The 19547-nt window shown below is 51.4% G+C and overlaps 1 protein-coding gene across 21 annotated transcripts in view, besides 3 other annotated features; it reads left to right on the forward strand.

Moving 5' to 3' along the window:
• Positions 1-19547, forward strand: part of RGS12 (regulator of G protein signaling 12) — a 154023-nt gene that overhangs the window by 81419 nt on the left and 53057 nt on the right. For 12 of the 21 annotated variants that reach the window (NM_001394155.1, NM_001394154.1, XM_011513543.3 and 9 more), the window contains one exon: positions 19107-19128. In NM_001394155.1, coding sequence (NP_001381084.1) covers positions 19107-19128 — 22 coding nt within the window. Of the gene's footprint in view, positions 1-2888; positions 3013-7952; positions 12203-17846; positions 18116-18365; positions 18508-18780; positions 18845-19106; positions 19129-19547 lie in introns of those variants that run through there. The other 9 variants (NM_198227.2, XM_017008534.2, NM_001394159.1 and 6 more) reach the window with 7 other exon arrangements.
• Positions 5493-6421: an enhancer, noted in NCBI's record as "H3K4me1 hESC enhancer chr4:3374529-3375457 (GRCh37/hg19 assembly coordinates)". NCBI's record gives its function as "activates a minimal SCP1, AML or CMV promoter by ChIP-STARR-seq in naive H9 embryonic stem cells {active_cell/tissue: H9 hESC(naive)}" and the evidence as "EXISTENCE:reporter gene assay evidence [ECO:0000049][PMID:30033119]".
• Positions 5629-5678: an enhancer, noted in NCBI's record as "active region_21221". NCBI's record gives its function as "activates an Ori minimal core promoter by ATAC-STARR-seq in GM12878 lymphoblastoid cells {active_cell/tissue: GM12878}" and the evidence as "EXISTENCE:reporter gene assay evidence [ECO:0000049][PMID:35858748]".
• Positions 18275-18354: an enhancer, noted in NCBI's record as "active region_21222". NCBI's record gives its function as "activates an Ori minimal core promoter by ATAC-STARR-seq in GM12878 lymphoblastoid cells {active_cell/tissue: GM12878}" and the evidence as "EXISTENCE:reporter gene assay evidence [ECO:0000049][PMID:35858748]".

A 19547-nucleotide genomic window follows, 5' to 3' on the forward strand; every position in this document is an offset into this window, starting at 1 on the left:
CGAGCTAGCACTCTGCCCACTTTCTCTTCACGCCCCGTCCTGGTGAGGCGGTGCCTGTGCAGCGCATGATCGGGTGCTCCCGCCTTGCGGTGCTTTCTTCCTGTGCCCAGACTGGCCATGCATGTGTTGGTGAAGGGCTGTGCTGGGCTTCCCGGGCCCGGGGTCTGAACCCGACTCCCACCAGGCACTGAGTAAACACATCCATCCAAACAAGGGAGGTGGAGCACGAAGCAGGGGCAATGGGCTGGGGCCCAGAATCTTCTGGGGATGTGGCTGTCAGCAGCTCCTGGACCTCTGACCATGTGGCAGGGGGCTCATCCCCGTCTCCCCAGGGCACTTGCTGCTGGGGCCCTCAGGCGGTCACAGGAGTTCTCCCAGGCGTGTTCTGGCCCTGCCCCATCCCTTTCCTCACCCATCTGCAGAGGGGAGTTACTGGCTAGGCAGGGGAGGTCAGCAGCTGCAGAAAAGGACAGGCTCCCACAAAAGAGGAGATGGGGGGAGCCTAGAGAGAGACAGGAGAACCCGGAGGCCCTGTTGTTGGAGGCCCTGTTGTTAGTGACCGGACAGCAACAGGCGGACCCCTAGCAGCCTGGGCTGCTTTGTGGGCTTTGCGAATAAACCACGTAGACAATGTGAAATTGTGTTTCTTCCTTTCCGTCCTCGATGGAACACAATGGGATGAAGATGTTTCTGTCTGAAAGAACTGAGGTGAAATCAGTTTAGCACTTAGGTGATAACCCCTCAGCAGAAGGCCCCACGCATGCCCAGGCTGCCTTCGGTTCTCAGGCGCTGGTGGCTGTTCCCAGGGTCTGGGGGCCCTGGGGGGCCAGGATGCTGTTGTCCTCTGCTCCCGCCTGGAGACCACTGTCTCCTCCAAAGCTCTGTAAACTGTCAGTAGTGCAGGCCCCTCAGAAGCCAATGAGGTTAACGGGCAGGTCAGCGTCAGGGGCTCACCCAGCCACCCCAGAACCCCTTGCTGTTGTTCCAGAACCTTCAGATTGCTTTCTCTGAAAGTGTGCCTGTGTGTGTGCCTGTGTGTGTGTGCACCTGTGTGTGTGCGTGCCTGTGTGTGGGTGCCTGTGTGTGTGGGGTGCCTGTGTGTGTGTGAGTGCCTGTGTGTGTGTGGGTGCCTGTGTGTGTGTGGGGTGCCTTTGTGTGTGGGGGTGCCTGTGTGTGAGGTGCCTGTGTGTGTGTGGGTGCCTGTGTGTGTGTGGGGTACGTGTGTGTGTGGGGTACGTGTGTGGGGTGCATGTGTGTGTGTGTGGGGTGCCTGTGTGTGTGCCTGTGTGTGTGTGGGTACCTGTGTGTGGGGGGGTACATGTGTGTGTGTGGTACGTGTGTGGGGTGCATGTGTGTGTAGGGGGGGTGCCTGTGTGTGTGGGGGTGCCTGTGTGTGTTGGGGGTGCCTGTGTGTGTTGGGGGGTGCCTGTGTGTGTTGGGGGGTGCCTGTGTGTGTGTGGTGGGGTGGATGCTGACGGGAAGGCAGGGGACGAGGATGCTGGTTTTGTCTGAGAGATGTGGCTTAGCCCAGGAATGGTGATGTGGTCTGGTCTATACGTGCTCCGCCTTCTGTCATACTGCCTGCCATGCCTGTCGTACCTAATGTAGACCCTCTGGCCCAGAGCCCAGGGGAAGTGGGTGGGGCCATGGTAGGTAGAGGCGGGGCCCTGTCGAGGAACAGGGCTTCTGAGGCCACTCCAGACCTATGGGGCTGACCGGGGGTCCCGGTAGCTTGGGCGGGAGCCCCTTCCTGGGCTGGTGACAGAAGTGGAGGTGGCACCCCTTTCAGCGAGGAGCAGCTGTGCAGAGGGAGGTGTGGCTGCCTTGGGGTGATTCCTCTGCTTGCTGGGGGTGTGGCTGGGCGCCTGCCCCCCGCCCCTGCAGACTCCCCCACACTTTTGTTACGTGCACAGCTCCTGAGAAAAGCCTTCTAAGGAAGCTTGAGCTGCTGCGCATTCTGCAAGCAGCCATTGTGCATTTCTGAAACGAAGTGTGTGTCCAGTGCTGTGGGTTCTGCTCACTGAACACTCTCGTGCGGGGAATGCTCATGTTCCTCCACAGAAAGGCAGAAGCAGAGCTGGCACAGTTCCTTCCCAGCTGGCAGCCCAACCCCAGACCCCAGAGCCATGGACCTAGCCTGGTGGCCCTGTGGGCATTGAGTTTGCAGTTCCTGGCAAGAAGCTTCCCCAGGTCTAATGGCGAAGCTTCCCTCAACCTAACGTTTCAGGGTTAGGACTCCTAGAGCCCATTAGGACGAGACTCTAGGTGGCCCATGCTGCATGATTTTGACAGCAGGGAAGCACTTTGGGATGAGCAGTTTACCCCTAAATCTCTAGAAAATTAACAGATGATTTTGCAGTGATCCCTAGGCTTTACAAATAGTTTTCTTTTTCTTTCCTCCTTCCTTTTTAGAGCCAGGATCCATCATGGTTCACTCGCTTTCTGGTTGTTTCATATATTTGGAGGGTGGGCAGAGCAGATCACGGAATACAGATAGCACTGAGAGGGCTTTAGGCGTGTGCCAGATCCCGCTGGCTGCCACCCAGTAAGCTGGTGCATGTGGAGGCTTAGAATAGATTCATTGGCAGCTGTAATTAAGGTTGTGAACTGCACCACGATGCTAAAAAAAACAAATTCTCTGCAGCTGTTTTACTGACTGAGAAATTACCCCTGTCGGCCGAAGTTTTATTCTTCTGATTTGGTAGAGGAAATAGTTTAAAAATGATCTCACAGCGTGATTTATGTAAACGGCGCTTCTTTCTTTGGATGAGACAATTGAGATAGAGTCTGAAACCCTGGCAAGCCACAGCTTCCTGCAGTGTCCTGTTGCCATGGGTTACGAAGGGAGCGAGAGGGAACTTCATCGGAAATGCCTTTAAACTTTTCTCACACGCACAAGCTGCGGTGTTGAATGGTGTGTCTTAGACCCGGGTGCCTAGTGTGGCTCGGTGCCTTACAATGAATTTGGGGAAAGAGTTGTCAAACGAAACCCATGTTTCTAATGACCAGCAGGTAAGTAGTTCCGGCTTTTTCTTTTCATTTAATCAGTGGTAGGAAAGCGTGGCACCCTGGCTATCCTGTTTTAGCGAGTGGCAGCTGTGGGACCTGCAAATGCTTGTAAGGATAAGCTTTGGAAATGGTTTTCATGTGTCTGCACCACAGCTCAAAGCGAGTGCTGCGGGGGCTCAGCCCAGGCTCTGGGACCGCAGCACGTCCCGGGCCCGACACACCCGGCCGCCGGCCTCAACCCCTCGGGAGCCCAAGCTGCCAGGTTTTAAGTCAGAACTTACGGAAAGCGTCAGATGTTTTTCCTTTACCGTGGTAATTCTCATAGATTTGAAAGATGTGAGTGAATTGATTTTGTTGAAATATTAATTTTAGGCTAGATAAATACATTAAAATCTTAGGCTCTTTAAATGATGGTAGCTTAACATTTCTAAATATGATGAGTTGATTTGGCTATTGTGCATATAGATAGCTACTATAGATCATATTGGTGATTACTATATAAGCTTATGAAGTTGAAGTTACTCTAAAATGGCTTTTTAAAAGATTTGAGATGAAATAAAAATAATTTCTATTTTCCTCTTAAGGCTGTGTTGGTGCAAAGATAAAAATAAATTTAAATTATGTACAGAAGTCTTAGTAATTACTGGGCACTGATTTCGAATTCATTCTTTTCTGGGAATTGTATAATCTTAATGTTTTTCTAATATCTAATTAAAGTCTTCTGTAGAGAAGCGAAGGACAAACTACTAGTTTAGAGATGAGGGGCATGGAGGGGTTGGGAACAGGAAAATGAGCCGCGTCCTTCCTTTTAAGTGGGAAATAGACATGGGTCTGCTGGGCAGGGCCAGCATGAGCCTGATGAAATCAACCGGCTTTCTGTGCACGTGGAAAGCTGCTTGGAAGGTGAAGCTGCGTGAGGCTCGGGGAGCAGCTCTGGTCTTCTTTGGGGCGTGCCTGCCGCGGGCCGCCTCTGGCTGTCTTGGGGCAGGGGGAATGTGTTCCTGTAACCTCTGTTTCATATCCTGCGTCGGAAAGTGAATTTTGGAGCTGTCGTGGGTTTAATGGGCCAGTTAATCAGTTAGCCATTTGTACTTATTTGTAGGCAGCACTTTCATCTCAGTGTATATCCAGGCAAGGTGTAGAAAATTTTGTTTTTTTATTCCGAGTAAAGTCATTAAAAACCTGCCTTTGTAAGTATCTGTTTACATGATTTGGACTTCCTTTTGAAGCTCTTGCAAATGCTTACACTGGCAGATAAGTTGTTCACGGGAGTGTATTGGAATCTGGCTGATGTGGTCGTCAGGCATCAGAAGTGAGCGGCTCCCCCTCTCGCAGTCAGAGGCACAGCGGGTGGGTGGGCGTCTCTGCTGCAGCTCTGCCTGGCTGGGTCCTGGCCAGCAGACGAGGGGCTGGAAAGCCTCTGGGGTCGGCAGAATTGCTTCTCCTTCTAAGCTTCAGGTAGTTGTTCTAAAAAATGGGAGGGTCAGGGAATGCTGGGGTGCCGCCGTCCGTGTCCGCAGCAGCGCTCTTTTGGAGTTCCGTGTGTCTCCAGCTCCCCTCATCTTGAGGGGGAGGATGCCCCCGCCTTTCTAGGAGCTGTTGCCCGACTCCATTCAAAGAGCACGCGGGGGAGCTGCCGGGATTTCCACTTGGAGAGAATGGAGGCTCTGGCTGGCCAGATCAGTCGATGCCTGGTTCCCTGGCTTTGGCAGGCCGGGAAGATGCCCGTGCCTGTCACCTAATCGGGGCACCTCATCCTGTTTCATAAACCATGTGGCGTCAGGTGTTGCAGGCTCTGACACTAGTTAGATGCTGAGAGGAGGCACGGAGACCCCAGCCCCAAAGAAATAGGAATTGCCTGGAGGAAGAGAGCCCTTGTGGTCTGTCTGCGCACCCCTCCCAGGGTGCCCTGCTGTGGGGTGGCCGCTCTGGGCTGGGGGGCTGCTGCAGCCCTGGGCAGCCCAGCTTGAGCCTCCCTGGCAGGCAGCGGCCGTTCAGCCAGCCTGTGGCTGTCACAGGGTCCTGGGTGGGACTTTCCGGGGCAGTTCCACCTCTCCTGTGAGTTGTGGGAACAAGTCCCCACTGCAAGTGAGTGCCCAGGTGAAGGCCCTGCTGGCGCACGGCTGGACAAGCATGACAGTTGTCGCGGAGCCGCCCGAGCTGTTGGCTTCCCCGATGTTCCCCCTGTGCTCGAGCTAGGGGTTTGACTTTAGTCCTCAGCTGTCAGAGGCCGCCTCGGGTGCATCCACGCTGGCCCCCCCAGGTGTGCCCTGTGTGGCCGGCATGGAGGTGGCGGCGGCCATCAGGGTGTGGTTTTGTGACGTCTCAGGGTGTCCTTTCTTTCCTTCATGAGAAGAAGTTCTGCAGTGTCAGACACTTGGCAGAAACTTTGTTTCTCAAGGCAAAGCCCTTTAGAGACTTGGGAGCACATGAGGTGCGGTGTAGATTTGTCTTCATTTCTCTCAGCACGGGGTTGTCTTCAGGCTGCCAGAGCGTGACAGAAAGAACTTTCTAGAGACCACAGGGCTTCTCTCCCCTTCAGGCATTGACGTTCTGTTTAATATTTTAAAAATCTTTAAAAAGGGTTGCACTGTTTAAAAACGTGGAATATTCTCTTGTAGGCAGTGTGGAGGCCATGGTCGCTGAGGAAGGGCAGGAGGGAGGAGGCGTGGGAGCTGGTGCAGTCTGCGGCCCGGCGTGGCTGCGGTCACACAGAGGATGCGGTGAGACCTGGCAGCGAGGCTCGAGGCAGACAGACGCTCATGCAGGGCAGAGGGCAGGACCCGTGTTGGAGCCTGGGGAAGTGAAAGGATAATGAGGAAGACGGAGTGTGGTCACGAGGGGGCGGTGGCTGCTGGCGACACGCAGCAGTCACTCTGGCTGCAGCCTTGGGCCCCATGCCATTTGACTGGAACCTTCACTCTTCCCTCGCGAGTCTACCACGGGCGGGCCGGCTGGGCCAGGCTCCAGGGTCCCCCGACAGAGAGTCCCAGCCCCTGCGGGACCAGGTTGTGTTAGGGCCTGAGGCTGGTGGCAGTGGTGCATGGCTGATGGCCGCCGCAGGACACAAGAGGGTTTCGGGGGCGTGCCTGGGCTGACGTGTCTGTGGACACCTCTGCTGGGTCATTTCTGAGTCTCTGTAGCATGAGCTTGGTGGGCCATCCGGGAAGGTGTTCGCATTTCACCGTGTCTCTTTTCCAGCCTGGATTAACCCAGTCTCTCTCATCAGTGTCACTGACCGCGTCTCTTAAATGGCCCTCGTGTGCCCATGCTCCTTTGGGACCCCGAAGTGCAGTGCTGACTGGTGCTGGGATCGCAGGGCGTGCACACCCTGTGTGCTGTGGCCGTGTGCCTGGCCTCTGCCCGCCTGTGTCCTGCTGTATCGGTCAGCTTACCTTTCGCCCCAGACCTCTGTTGCCCTGAGCCTGGTGCAGGAGGGCCTGGAGTCTGTGCCGGCGAGCATCAGCGCGTCCCACTTCAGATGCTGGTTGCAGATTCTTCTCTCGTTTTCTGACACTCTGAGTCTCGTCATCTATATAAGGAAAGATCCAAGTATATTTGAGAAAAACTGTTTTAATACATTTCTATTTTCACCTCTTCCCCCTTCTTTTCATTAAGAAATTGGACACCTTGTGCTGTAAGCTGTCCGTCCATGTTACATAGTCAGAGGTGTATCCTTCTCGGGCCAAAAACCCCCAGCCCTTTCCCCTGGGTCCTGAGGAGGAAGGCAGCGAGCCCGCTTGGCGAGGCCCTTGAGCACTCAGCACCTTCTCCTACCATGTCCCACGCGGCTCTGTGAACGCAGGCATCCCTGTCTCCGTTGGGCGGATGTGGAGGCTGGTTGAGGTTCCTTGCAACGCTTGCCATCCTACGCATGATGCAGGGACCCCGGCCCTCCGCAGACAGCAGGAGCTGCCGAGCTCCGAGTGCTGGGCCAGCTTGCCTTGGGCTTCTGCAGCAGCGCCCTCCGGGTTCCCCTCCTCTCCTCCGACTCCACTGGCTTTTCACCACTGTCAGGTCTTCACGGGGGAGGCCTAGGCTGGGCGGGGACCGGTCTCCTTCCGCCACCACCTTCCACGACAGGCTCGATTCGTCCCTCGCATGCTGCCCTCCCAGCCTGGCCCTGCAGCAGACACTTCTGCCCTGGGCCCCGGTCTCAGTGACAGGTCCACATCTTCTCACCGTCTCTCCTCGGACATCCAGGAGGCCCCTCAGACTTAAGTACCAAACAAGACTTGGATTCTCCCCTCGCCTCCAGTGTACCCCTCCCTCAGTCTGCCACATCTCAGGAAGGGATGTCCCTGTCCCTTCTGCTTGAGCCCACACCCTCTGATACTCCACGTCAGCAAGCTCCTGGGCTCGGCCTTCAAAATCCCTGAGTTTACACTTTCTCACCCCCATTGCTGCAGCCTGCCCTCGTCCCCATCTCTTGCCTGGAGCACCACAGAGCCTCCAGCTGCCCCTGCCCTGCCCTGTCCATGCACCTGCCAGAGTGAGCAGCGCCATCCTAGCCGCCCCTGCTCTTTGCCCCATGGCTTTCTGCCTTGGACTGGGCTCTGCGGGGCAGGGCTGCCAGTTTGGGGTTTGCATGTTGATTTTGTACATCCAGCATCTCAGGATGGCTCGCCACGTCATGGGGGCTCAGCAGATGCTTTGCCAAGTGAGTGGGAGCGTTCTCAGCTTGCGTTTGCCATGCACCGCCTGTCCCTGTGGGCAGAGCAGTTCATAACCCCGTAACCAACCCATGGGTATGCCAGACACCGCCAAGGGGGCTGCCAGGAGGGGTCGGAGCTCAGGGGCCAGACTGAGGGAGACAGGAGGCTCAGAGACCAGGGTTTAGCTGCACGGGAGGTCATTTTGAGACAGTCGCTGAGTCTTGGTTCATATGAGGAAACGTTTCCCTGGGCGTGAACTCCAGCCTCATCTCCAGCCCTCATCTCCAGCCCTCATCTCCAGCCTCATCTCCAGCCCTCATCTCCAGCCCTCATCTCCAGCCCTCATCTCCAGCCTCATCTCCAGCCCTCATCTCCAGCCTCATCTCCAGCCCTCATCTTCAGCCCTCATCTCCAGCCTCATCTCCAGCCTCATCTCCAGCCTCATCTCCAGCCCTCATCTCCAGCCTCATCTCCAGCCTCATCTCCATCCCTCATCTCCAGCCCTCATCTCCAGCCTCATCTCCAGCCCTCATCTCCAGCCTCATCTCCAGCCCTCATCTCCAGCCCTCATCTCCAGCCTCATCTCCAGCCCTCATCTCCAGCCTCATCTCCAGCCCTCATCTCCAGCCTCATCTCCAGCCCTCATCTCCAGCCTCATCTCCAGCCCTCATCTCCAGCCCTCATCTCCAGCCCTCATCTCCAGCCCTCATCTCCAGCCTCATCTCCAGCCCTCATCTCCAGCCTCATCTCCAGCCCTCATCTCCAGCCCTCATCTCCAGCCTCATCTCCAGCCTCATCTCCAGCACGGGATGAGCTCCTGGTGGCCAGCTGTGTTACGCCAGTCCCTGTCCAGAACCTCTCAGCACAGCTGACTTTTACACTCATCTTTCCTTGCGGGGGGTTGGCACTGACACATTGGAAACCTGAGTCACGAATGTCGGCCTGGATGCCTGGCAGCCTGCCACCTGTCTGCGTGCTGGAGGGCCCTTGGCTTCTGAGACTGGGCGAGCTGAGGAGGGCAAAGGCCTGTGTGGTGTTTGTCCCAACAGAGGGTTATGGTGTGACAAGGAGGAGCATCCCAAAGTCAGATGGCCCCTACTGCTGTCCCAGGAGGACACTACTTTGGGCTCAAAAGTTGTCAGAATATATTATCTTAGGCTCCGCCAAGGATATGAAATGAATATTAGCTGCTGCTGCTTTGAAAGGCTGTCATTTTGGTTTTTGCCCTGGTTCAGTTCCTTCTGATTTTATTCAAGGTTGAAAAGCTCCTTGGAACACACACACACACACACACACACACACACACACACACACACACACTTTAAAGGGAGAAGCGCAGGTCTGTGTCTCAGCCCCAGGTGTGCTGCCCTCCCCGCAGACCGTGGTGGCTGCTCTGCCAGGCGAGGTTGCACGTGGGAGCTGGGCTGCAGTGAGGAGGGCACCATGCTGAGGAGTGGAGAGGGAGATGGAACAGGAGGGGACTGGGTCCCTCTGTGCAGGGGCCATCGAAGTCCTTGCGCTGCCACCCTGGGGGGAGACACGTGCCCTCCAAGACCCTGCTCACAGGCATGCACATGCACTGTGTCCACACACAGACTTGCAGCTCAGAAGTGGGGTTCACAGACAGCACGGGCCTGGAGACATGCTGCATGCTTCCCTTCCGTGTTGTTCTGTTTCATCCCATTTCATTTTTCAAAAAATGCTGCTCACAGACTGTGAATTGATTTGCCGGTCCCTTGGAGGGTCATGGCTGGGTCTGAAGACCCCTGTGCTAGTGGAGCAGAGAGCACCCCAGCATGTGGGAGTGCAGTGAGCCACTAAGCCAGGGCATCTTCTCCTGAACACTCACTCTGTGCTGCACTCAGCCTTGCCCGCCTCAGAGACCCTCCCAGATGCACCTTTCCGAGGCCTCAGTCTCAGCCTCTGGCGTGGATGCTGTGCTCTTCTGCATTTAGTCCAGCAAGAGATTGCCTTGAAATATGAATGATGAAATTTTAAAAGGTAAAGCATATATTAGGTGCAAATTGGATTGTTAAATTCTTTTTTTTTTTTTTTTGAGACAGGGTCTCACTCTGCCACCCAGGCTGGAGTGCAGTGGTGTGATCACGGCTCACTGCAGCCTTGATTTTCTTCCAGCAGGAAGGGACTGGGTCCCTCTGTGCAGGAGCCATCAGAGTCCCAGCTACTTAGGGGGCTCAAGCGATCCTCCTGCCTCAGCCCCCCAAGTAGCTGGAGCTATAGGCACACACCACCACACCCAGCTAATTTTTGTATTTTTTGTAGTGGCAGTGTCTTGCCATGTTGCCCAGGCTGGTCTCGAACTCCTGAGCTCAAGTGATCCTCCTTTCTAGGCCTCCTAAATTCTGGGATTACAGGCATGAGTCACGATGCCCAGCTGATTATTAAATTCTTAATTCATTTATTTATATTTCTTCTCTTTGTATTGAAAACATTTAGTGCATTTGAGCACCTTGCAGGCCTTTGGTCCGTTTTTTTAGGAACATCAAGTGGTGATTGAATAGTTTTTATGTTCAAGGTAGAAAATTTTGTCAGTGGCTGAAAATGAAAAATGTATATTACAGTATATTACTGTAAACCAATAGAATTTGGAAATTATGTGTTTTAATAATTCCTTTTGTCTAGTGTTACTAACAATAAACCTTAATAAAGGTTAGATTCCTCATGTGACACTACTCATATAAATAATTTAAAACTTTCAAAACATTCATTTCAAAATATCCGTGAATGTGGGTGGCCCAGACAGACTGCCTGCAGAGGAGCAGTTGAGTCCTTGTCAGCTGAGCTGCCGCGTTCAAGAGACCCACCGAGGAGCAGAGGTTGTGTGGACTTAAGTTACATTTTAAAATACTTCGTCAGTTTCTTTAAAACAGAAATGTGTTTACTTGAGTGTAAATTCCAATTCTGGAGGCATGTTATAGAAATTTTTAGAGCTGTTTAATTACGGTATATGTTTAAATTGTAAGCACCGAAAAGTGCTGACTTACTGGGGTCTTTTTCCATGGGTGGCTTTGTTTTTGTGGCTGTACTTTTTTTGTAAGTATAATGTGTATATATGGAAATTTGGGAAGAATCCAAGAAGTATAGGCCAATGAAAACAAGTTATTAATACAAATAGTACTGTATATGAGAGTACACATTAGGAATGCTGTGCTTTAATGCATAAACATGTTTACAGTGGTCCACATGTGCCAGGAGATGTGGGAATGGCTACCCCTGAAGTCATATGGAGAAATGGGGTCCTCATCGCACACCATACACAAACATCATCTCACAAATGGATTAAAGACACTTAAGACCTGAAACCAAAAAAACTCCTAGGAGAAAACACAGGGGAAAGCTCCATGACATCAGTTTCGGCGATGATTTTTTTTTGGACATGACACTAAAAGAACAAGCAACAAAACTAAAAGTAAACAGGTGGGATTACATTGAAGTAAAAAGTTTCTGCACAACAAAGGAAACAACCAACAAAATGAAAAACGAACCTGTGAATGGGAGAAAATACTTGCAAACTGTATATCCAGTAAGGGGTTAATATCCAAATACATAAGGAACTCATACAACTCAGTGGCAAAAACCAAATAACCCAATTGAAAAATGGCAAAGAGCCATAGTAGACATTTTTCCAGAGAAGCTCTACAGATGGCCAACAGGTATATGCAGAGGTCTCAGCATCACCCATCACCAGAGAAATGCAGTCACAACAGTGAGCTGTCACTGCATGTCTGTAGAATGGTTGTTATCAGAAAGGCAAAAGATAACAAGTGTGGGTGAGGATAGGAGAAGAGGGAACCCTTGCACTGTTGGTGGGAATGTAAATTGTACAGCCATTGTGGAAAACAGCATGGAGGTTCCTTGAAAAATTAAATATGGAACTACCATATGATCCACTACTGGGTATATCTCCAGAGGAAATAAAATCAGTCTCTCATAGTTGTGCTCCCATGTTCATGGAAGTGTTAATCACAATAGCTAAGATATGAAAACCTAAGGGATAAAGGAAATGTGCGATGTGTGTGTGTGTGTGTGTGTGTGTGTGTGTGTGTGTGTGTTTAGAGAGAGAATGAGAATAGCATATTCTGCCTTAAAGGAACTCCTGCCATTTGCAACAACATGGATGAAGCCAAACATGTGTGGCTTCACTTACATGTGGACTCTAAAAACATTGAATTCATGGACGCAGAGAGTAGATTGGTGCTTACCAGTGCCTGGCGGTAGTGGTGGAGAGATGTTGGACACAGGATACAGACTTCCAATTATAAGATGAATAAGTTCTAGAGACCTGATGTACAGCTTGGTGGTTGTAGTTAATAATGCTGCATTTATTGTATGCTTGAAATTTGCTAAGAGAGTAAATCTTAATTTGCTAAGAGAATAGATTCTCACCACACACAAAAAAGGCAACTAAGTGAGGTGGTGGAGGTACATGTTAATTCACTTGATTGTGATAATCATATTACAGTGTATACATATATTAAAATATCATATCACATACATTAAATAAAAATTTAATATTACCTGTTGTATTAGTCTGTTCTCGTGCTGCTATGAAGAAATACTTGAGACTGGGTAATTTTTAAAGGAAAGAGGTTTGATTAACTCACAGTTTCACATGGCTGGGGAGGCCTCAGGGAACTTACAATCATGATAGAAGGGGAAGCAACCATGTCCTTCTTCATATGGCAGTAGGAGAGAGAAGTGCCAAGCAAAAGGGGGAAAGCCCCTTATAAAACCGTCAGCTGTCATGAGAACTCACTCACTATCACCAGGGGGTAACTGCCCCCATGATTCAATTACCTCCCACTGACTCCCTCCCATGACACATGGGGATTATGGGAACTACAATTCAAGATTAGGTTTGGGTGGTGACATAGCGAAACTGCATCGTTCCACCCCTGACCCCTCCAAAATCTCATATCCTCACATTTTGAAACACAATCATGCCCTTCCAACAGTTCCCCCAAAGTCTTAACTCATTCTAGCATTAACTCAAAAGTCCAAGTCCAAAGTCTTATCTGAGACAAGGCAAGTCCCTTCTGTCTATGAGCCTATAAAATCAAAAGCAAGTTAGTTGCTTCCAGGATACAATCGGATTACAGGTATTGGGTCTATATCCCCATTCCAAATGGGAGAAATTGGCCATAACAAAGGGGCTGCAGGCCCCATGCAAGTCCAAAATGCAATAGGGCAGTCATTAAACCAAAATGATCTCCTTTGACTCCCATGTCCCACATCCAGGGCATGCTGATGCAAGAGGTGGGCTCCCACGGCCTTGGGCATCTCTGCCTCTTTGGCTTTGCAGGGTACACTTCCCCTCCAAGCTGCTTTCACGGGTTGGCATTGAGCGTCTGCAGCTTTTCCAGGTGCATGATGCAAGCTGTTGGTGGATCTACCATTTTGAGGTGTGGAGGAGGGTGGCCCTCTTCTCCCAGCTCCACTAGGCAGTGTCCCAGTGGGGACTCTGTGTGGGGACTCTAACCCCACATTTCCCTTTCACACTGCCCTAGCAGAGGTTCTGCACGAGGGCCCCACCCCTGCAGCTAACTTCTACTTGGACATCCAGGCATTTCCATGCATCCTCTGAAATCTAGGCAGAGGTTCCCAAACCTCAATTCTTGACTTCTTTGCCCAATACCACATGTAAGCTGCCAAGGCTTGAGGCTTTCACCCTCTGAAGCAATGGCCTGAGCTCTACGTTAGCCCCTTTTATCCATGGCTGGAGCTGAAGCAGCTGGGATTCAGGGCACCATGTCCTGAGGTTGCATAGAGCAGGGAGGCCTTGGGTCCAGCCCAGGAAACAATTTTTCCCTCCTCGGCCTCCAGGCCTGTGATGAGAGGGGCTGCCCCAAAGGTCTCTGATGTGCCCTGGAGACATTTTCATCATTGTCTCAGTGATTAACATTTGGCTCCTTATTACTTATGCAAATTTATGCAGCAGGCTTGAATTTCTCCCCAGAAAATTTTTTCTTCTTTTCTGTCACATCGTCAGGCTGCAAATTTTTCAAACTTTTATGTTCTGCTTCCTCTTGAATGCTTTGCTGCTTAGAAATTTCTTCTGCATGACACCCTAAATCATCTCTCTTACGTTCAAAGTTCCGCAGATATCTAGGGCAGGGACAAAGTGCCATCAGTCTCTTTGCTAAAGCATAGCAGGAGTGACCATTACTCTACTTCCCAACAAGTTCCTCATCTCTGTCTGAGACCATCTCAGCCTGGACTTCGTTGTCCATATCACTGTCAGCATTTTGGTCAAAGCCATTCAACAGATCTCTAGGAAGTTCAAACTTTCACACATATTTCTGTCTTCTTCTGAGCCCTCCAAACAGTTCCAACCTCTGCCTGTTACCCAGTTCCAAAGTCACTTGCACATTTTCAGATATCTTTACGGCAGCACCCTACTTCTGGTAGCAATTTACTATATTAGTCCGTTATCATGCTGCTGTGAAGAAATACCTGGGACTGGGTAATTTATAAAGGAAATGGGTTTAATTGACTCACAGTTCCACATGGCTAGGGAGGCCTCCGGGAACTTACAATCATGGCAGAAGGGAAAGCAAACACGTCCTTCTTCACATGGTGGCAGTAGAGAGAAGTGCTGAGCAAAAGAGGGACTAACCCCTTATAAAACCGTCAGATCTTGTGAGAACTCACTATCACAACAGCATGAGGGTAACTGTTCCCATGATTCAGTTACCTCCCAACTGGGTGCCTCCCACAACACGGGATTATTGGAACTACAAGATGAGATTTCGGTGGGGACACAACAAAACCATATCACCTGGACATCAAACTGCTGTCCTCCAAGTTTTCATACTTTCAGAGAAATTGGTCATGACTTTTCCTGACAAGATTACTTAATTTGCAAAGAGATCATTTATAATTACCATGAATCTTACTGCTTTTGTTTAATGAATATACCTGGGAGTGAGAGAGCTGTGCACTGTGTAAACTGGGGTCCAGCCACCTGTATGTGAAGGCCAGAGGCTTCCCTGCCAGCACCCAGCACCACTTTGTACACCACAAAGTTTTATTTGTCAAAAAATAGTCGTAACGTCACCGTTCAAGGGCGGTTGACTGCTGTTAGCTTTGGATATTGTTCCTTTGTGGCTAGTTACGTCTTTTCAGTATTTAAGAGTGTATTTTCACAGATCTTACATTTTAAAGAAAATTTTACATATTTGTGATTATACCATGATATCATTTTGCATTATTTTTTCCACTTGCATTGATGACATAACTTCTAAAAGTTCTTGTCAGAGATATAATGTCCCTTTTTGAAATGAAGAAAGGAACCGCAAGGTGCCCTCTCCTTCCCTGCCCTTCCTGATGCTGAGACAAGCCCTCAGTCCCTCTGCCTCCTCCTCAGCTCCACTCCTGAGCACAGACAAGCCCAGCCGTGGCCTGGAAGCGACACTGATGATTAGTATATCTGTGCTGAGTGCCGACTGGATGCTGTGCTGAGCCACTGTGGTGGGTGTCTTGATTCCTGTGACCACCTTGGGAGATCAACATCATGGGATCCACTGAAAAGTCTTGCTGGCTTGCATTAGTCCTGCTCACAGCACCATTTGTAGGTGACGGTCTTCAGGAGTTCTCCACAGTCGTTTTTGAATCTCAGATCCTGAGGAGACCACCTCAGTTCTCTGCTGCTCTCTCTCTCTCCTCCTTATTTTCTCTGCCCATCCCTCTGTACTGTGGTCAGTGTAATTGTTTTCAGTTCCATCTTCCAGTTCCCAAATCCTCTCTTCAACTGCCTAATCTCTGTTTAGCCTTCCTATTGAATCTTTAACTTCACTTACTGTATTTTCACTGTCGGACATTCCATATGGTTCTGTTTCCGACCTGCACTGTGCTCGTGTTCTGCTTCAGCCTTTGTTTCTCGACAGCTTCACAGATGGTTACTCAACGCTCTGCATTAGATTGTTCCCATGTCTGAGACTCTGCTCATTGTTGTCTCTGCTGATACCCACTCATGCTGGGCTTCTCCTTGGGTTTTTCATAGTGAACTCATATTCGAGTGGGCTCACTATCTGGAACTCCTGAGGGCCCCTGTTGGGCTGTTTTCTTTCTGGAAGGATTTGCATTAATATATGTGGCTTCCAGGAGTGTTGCACCTAGGACAACACTACTCCCCGAGGGCCATGGCTGAGCTGGATGGAGGATCTCAGGTTGAGGGGACAACCGTGCTGTGGCTGAGGCTCACTGCGGGCTACCCGGCCCTAGTGGCATTGGCATTTTCTAACTGCTTCCCCCTCTGTTCCTTCCTCGTCTCTTTTCAGGGATTTCCCTTTACTCTTTTTGGAGTAGCGGTATATTAAAAAGCATGTTTGGGTGGGGCATGGAGGCTCACACCTGTAATCCTAGCACTTTGAGAGGTCAAGGTGGGAGGATTGCTTGAGGCCAGGAATTCAAGACCAGCCTGGGCAACAGAATGAGACCCCATCTCTACAAAAAATACACAAAGTAGCTGAGCATGTTGGTGAACTCCTGGATCCCAGCTACTTAGGAGGCTGACATGGGAGGATTGCTCAAACCCAGGAGGATTGAGGCTGCAATGAGCCATCATTATGCCACTGTACTCTATCCTGGTGACAGAGCGAGACTGTCAAAAAAAAAAAGTATGTGTATCTCTCTACTGTCTTTAAAATAATTTTTTCCATAAATTTAAAGCTGTTTGAAAAGGTAAAGTTTACTTTTAAAACAGCTCTACACTTTACCTGCATCCGTGCACTGTCTTAGAGCCTCCCAGAGGCTCTGGTCTAGCCCTACGTGCCCGCAGCCTGTGCCCATCACAGGAGCAGCGATGGCCCATGCCCATATTCTTTGGCCTCTCAGTGGGCATCACACACTCCCTGGCCACCTTCTCCTTCAGTCTGTTTGGCCTCTGGGACACTCCTCTCTCCTGGTTCTCAAGTTTCAGCTAATTTGGGGGATGTAAATGCTGCGTGTATAGAGGTTTTCTAGAGCACTTTGTTCGGCCTGCCAGATTCTGAGAATTGAATTTTACTCATGAGCGTGACATGAAGTGAAACACCTCCTTCATATTTATGAAGTTTACATTTTATGATTTATCTTTCAGATCTTATTGACAGCATTTCTGATTTTGTGTATGGCCTTGTGGATTTTCTTCTCATAATCTCAAAGGTATAGATTGCCTGTGATATTATTTATTTATTTTAAGACGGAGTCTCACTCTCTCACCCAGGCTGGAGTGTAGTGGCACGATCTCGGCTCATTGCAACCTCTACCTCCCGGGTTCAAGCGATTCTCCTGCCTCAGCCTCCCGAGTAGCTGGGATTATAGGCATCTGCTTCCACGCTCGGCTAATTTTTATATTTTAGTAGAGACGAGGTCTCTTCATGTTGACCAGGCTGGTCTCGAACTCCTGACCTCAGGTGATCCACTCACCTCGGCTTCCCAAAGTGCTGGGATTACAGGTGTGAGCCACTGCGCCCAGCCTTCCTGTGATATTATTTAGATTGCGACATGATTGTGGATGATTTATTGCGGGCATGGAAGGAATGACAGCCTTCCAAAATGTGTATGTCAGCATCTGTGACGTGGCTGCCCCAGAGCCTCTGATAAAAACCAGTTCCTGCGGCTGAGGGCCAAGGGCCACATGGTGGCTTCAGGGGTGTGTGCTCTTTCCCCTTCCTGGCCAATGAGAGGACAGTGAAGAGATGGATGCAGGCTGCTGTGTGTTTTCACTACTGGGAAGTGGGTTGGGGGGCAGGACCCTCCGAAGCTGGCCCCAGGTGGTCTCACACAGTGCCTGTCAGGGGGCTTACTTTGGGTGCCAGAGGACAGACTCTGCGGGGGAGGAGGATGCGCATAGCTGGTGTAGGTCGCAGGGCCAGGGCTGGCAGTGGACCCCGGATGGCCAGGCTGCGTCGGGGCATGGTTGCCCTTGCCGGCAGGCTGGGAGGCAGGGCTGGGGCCCTGTGCCGAGGTTGGGGTGGTCAGACAGGATGTGCAGAATTCCAGTGGGTGTACCGCTCGTGTTAAAACCCATACAGTGTGTGTCCCGGAGGGCCACACGGTAGGGGCAGCAGCTGGAAGCCCTGGCTCCTTTTCCTTGGTCCCCTCCCCCTTGGGAGGTTCCTCTGGGCCTCACTTGTTTGGACTTTGGCGTGGGGGGGTCTTAAAGCCCCAGTGACCTCCACTTCTCGGGAGTGGCCAGGAGGTACCAGGTTGCCCATCACGGCAGCACCTTCTCGTTCGCTCCCCTGGCCCTGGCAGCCCTCGCCTTGGCAGAGAGGAGGACAGAAGTGGGTCCTTGCCAGGCCGTCTGGGAGGTCCCCGCAGGAAGGGGTTCCTGCCTAGATAGCAGCAGAGTGCCTGCCCAGGGATCAGATCAAACACGGGTTTGTCCAGCCTCTGGAGCTCCATTCTGCTCACCCCCTCTCACTTCCTGGCATCCGTGTCCCCTGGTGAGCCAGCCTCTTCTGATTCCTCTCCTTCCTGGGCTGAGTCCTGGGCTTGTCCCGTACCTGCCTGACGGCTCTGCGCCCTGGGCCCTTCCTGCCAGTGCAGTGCCAGGTCGCCCTGATCAGGGCTCCCGTTGGGGCCGCCGTGGCTTCCTGTTCTTTTCGGCTTCCTCCTGGCTCAGCTGACTGTCTCGAGTTCTCGGCCTCCTCCTGGTCACGCTGGCCTTCCGGTACCGCCTGCCACCCCTCCTTCATAACTTGACTTGTCTGTTCTTGTCCCTGGTGCCTTTAAGCCAGCCACCCTGCTCTCCTCCAGCCCCTTCCACTGTTCCAAGCCCCTTCCTCGGAGGCGTCTCCCCAACCCTCCTGCTGGTGGCCGCTCTTGCACTGCTTGGGTGGGCGGGCACCAGATCCGGGGCTTGGCTCTGGGCTTGACTCCTCTGCTGCCACCCTGAGTGGTCATTGCGCCTCTCTAGGCCCCGTTCCACTCCTGTGGGAGGGCAGTGATGCTGGAGAGCGTGAGGGGCGGCGAGTATGGCCCTGGGTGGCGTCATGGCACACAGGCACTGAGTGGACTGTTGGTGGCTGCCCCCGAGTGTGGTCCTGGGTGGCGTCACGGCACGTGGGCACTGAGTGGGCTGTTGGTGGCTGCCCCCAGTGTGTGTGTCACTTACAGGGCATGATGCTACTGAAGTTTGTGAAGTTGGTTTCATTGACGCTGTTACTAAGACTGTAATGTCAGACATGTTGGGATCTGTTCTTTTCACATGAAAAGGATGACTTCCTCTTGTTGGGTGTCACCTAGTTTGGGCGGAGTGGGAGCCGTGACTCTTGACTCATTGGGCCGTCTGGCTTTCCCGGGACACCTCCACCTGGAGAGTGCCTCTGAGAACCTCCCAGAGTCTGCCCCTTGTGTTCCTCAGATGGACTTTTCGTTTCCTGGAGTTTTGTCATGAGGCTTAATTAACTCATGTCTCTCTCTCTTTTCTTTCAGTCTGCAACTGTGTCTGATGGCGGTAAGTCACAATTTCTGATGTATATATTTTTTATTTTTCATAAAGTTTTCAAATTGTGAAAGTGTATTTGCCATTTGATGCCCTCAGGAAGGACGGGTTGTTTGCCTTTCCCTGTCTCCTTGTGGGCGGGTTCTAGGTGAGTTAATTCTGGGGGCGCTTTCTGTGACACCCAGGTGGCCTCGGCGTGTGTTTTGGAAGCTGTTTGTTAAGAGAACTGCCATGGCCCTGAACACCAGTGTGATAGAGCGCTGTGTGTCTGAGGAGTGCACCCACCCGCCTGCCTGTGTCTGACAAGTTAAAACGTGTTTTTGCTCTTCCCTTGTTGTATAACCAGCTTTTAAACCAGCAAGTTAAGATTTCAAAGTGCTTTCTGAATTTGAGCAATTCAGGAAATTTGGGTGAGACCCAGAATTTTCTCA

Source organism: Homo sapiens, chromosome 4 (assembly GCF_000001405.40).
Source record: "Homo sapiens chromosome 4, GRCh38.p14 Primary Assembly".
NCBI lineage: Eukaryota > Metazoa > Chordata > Mammalia > Primates > Hominidae > Homo > Homo sapiens.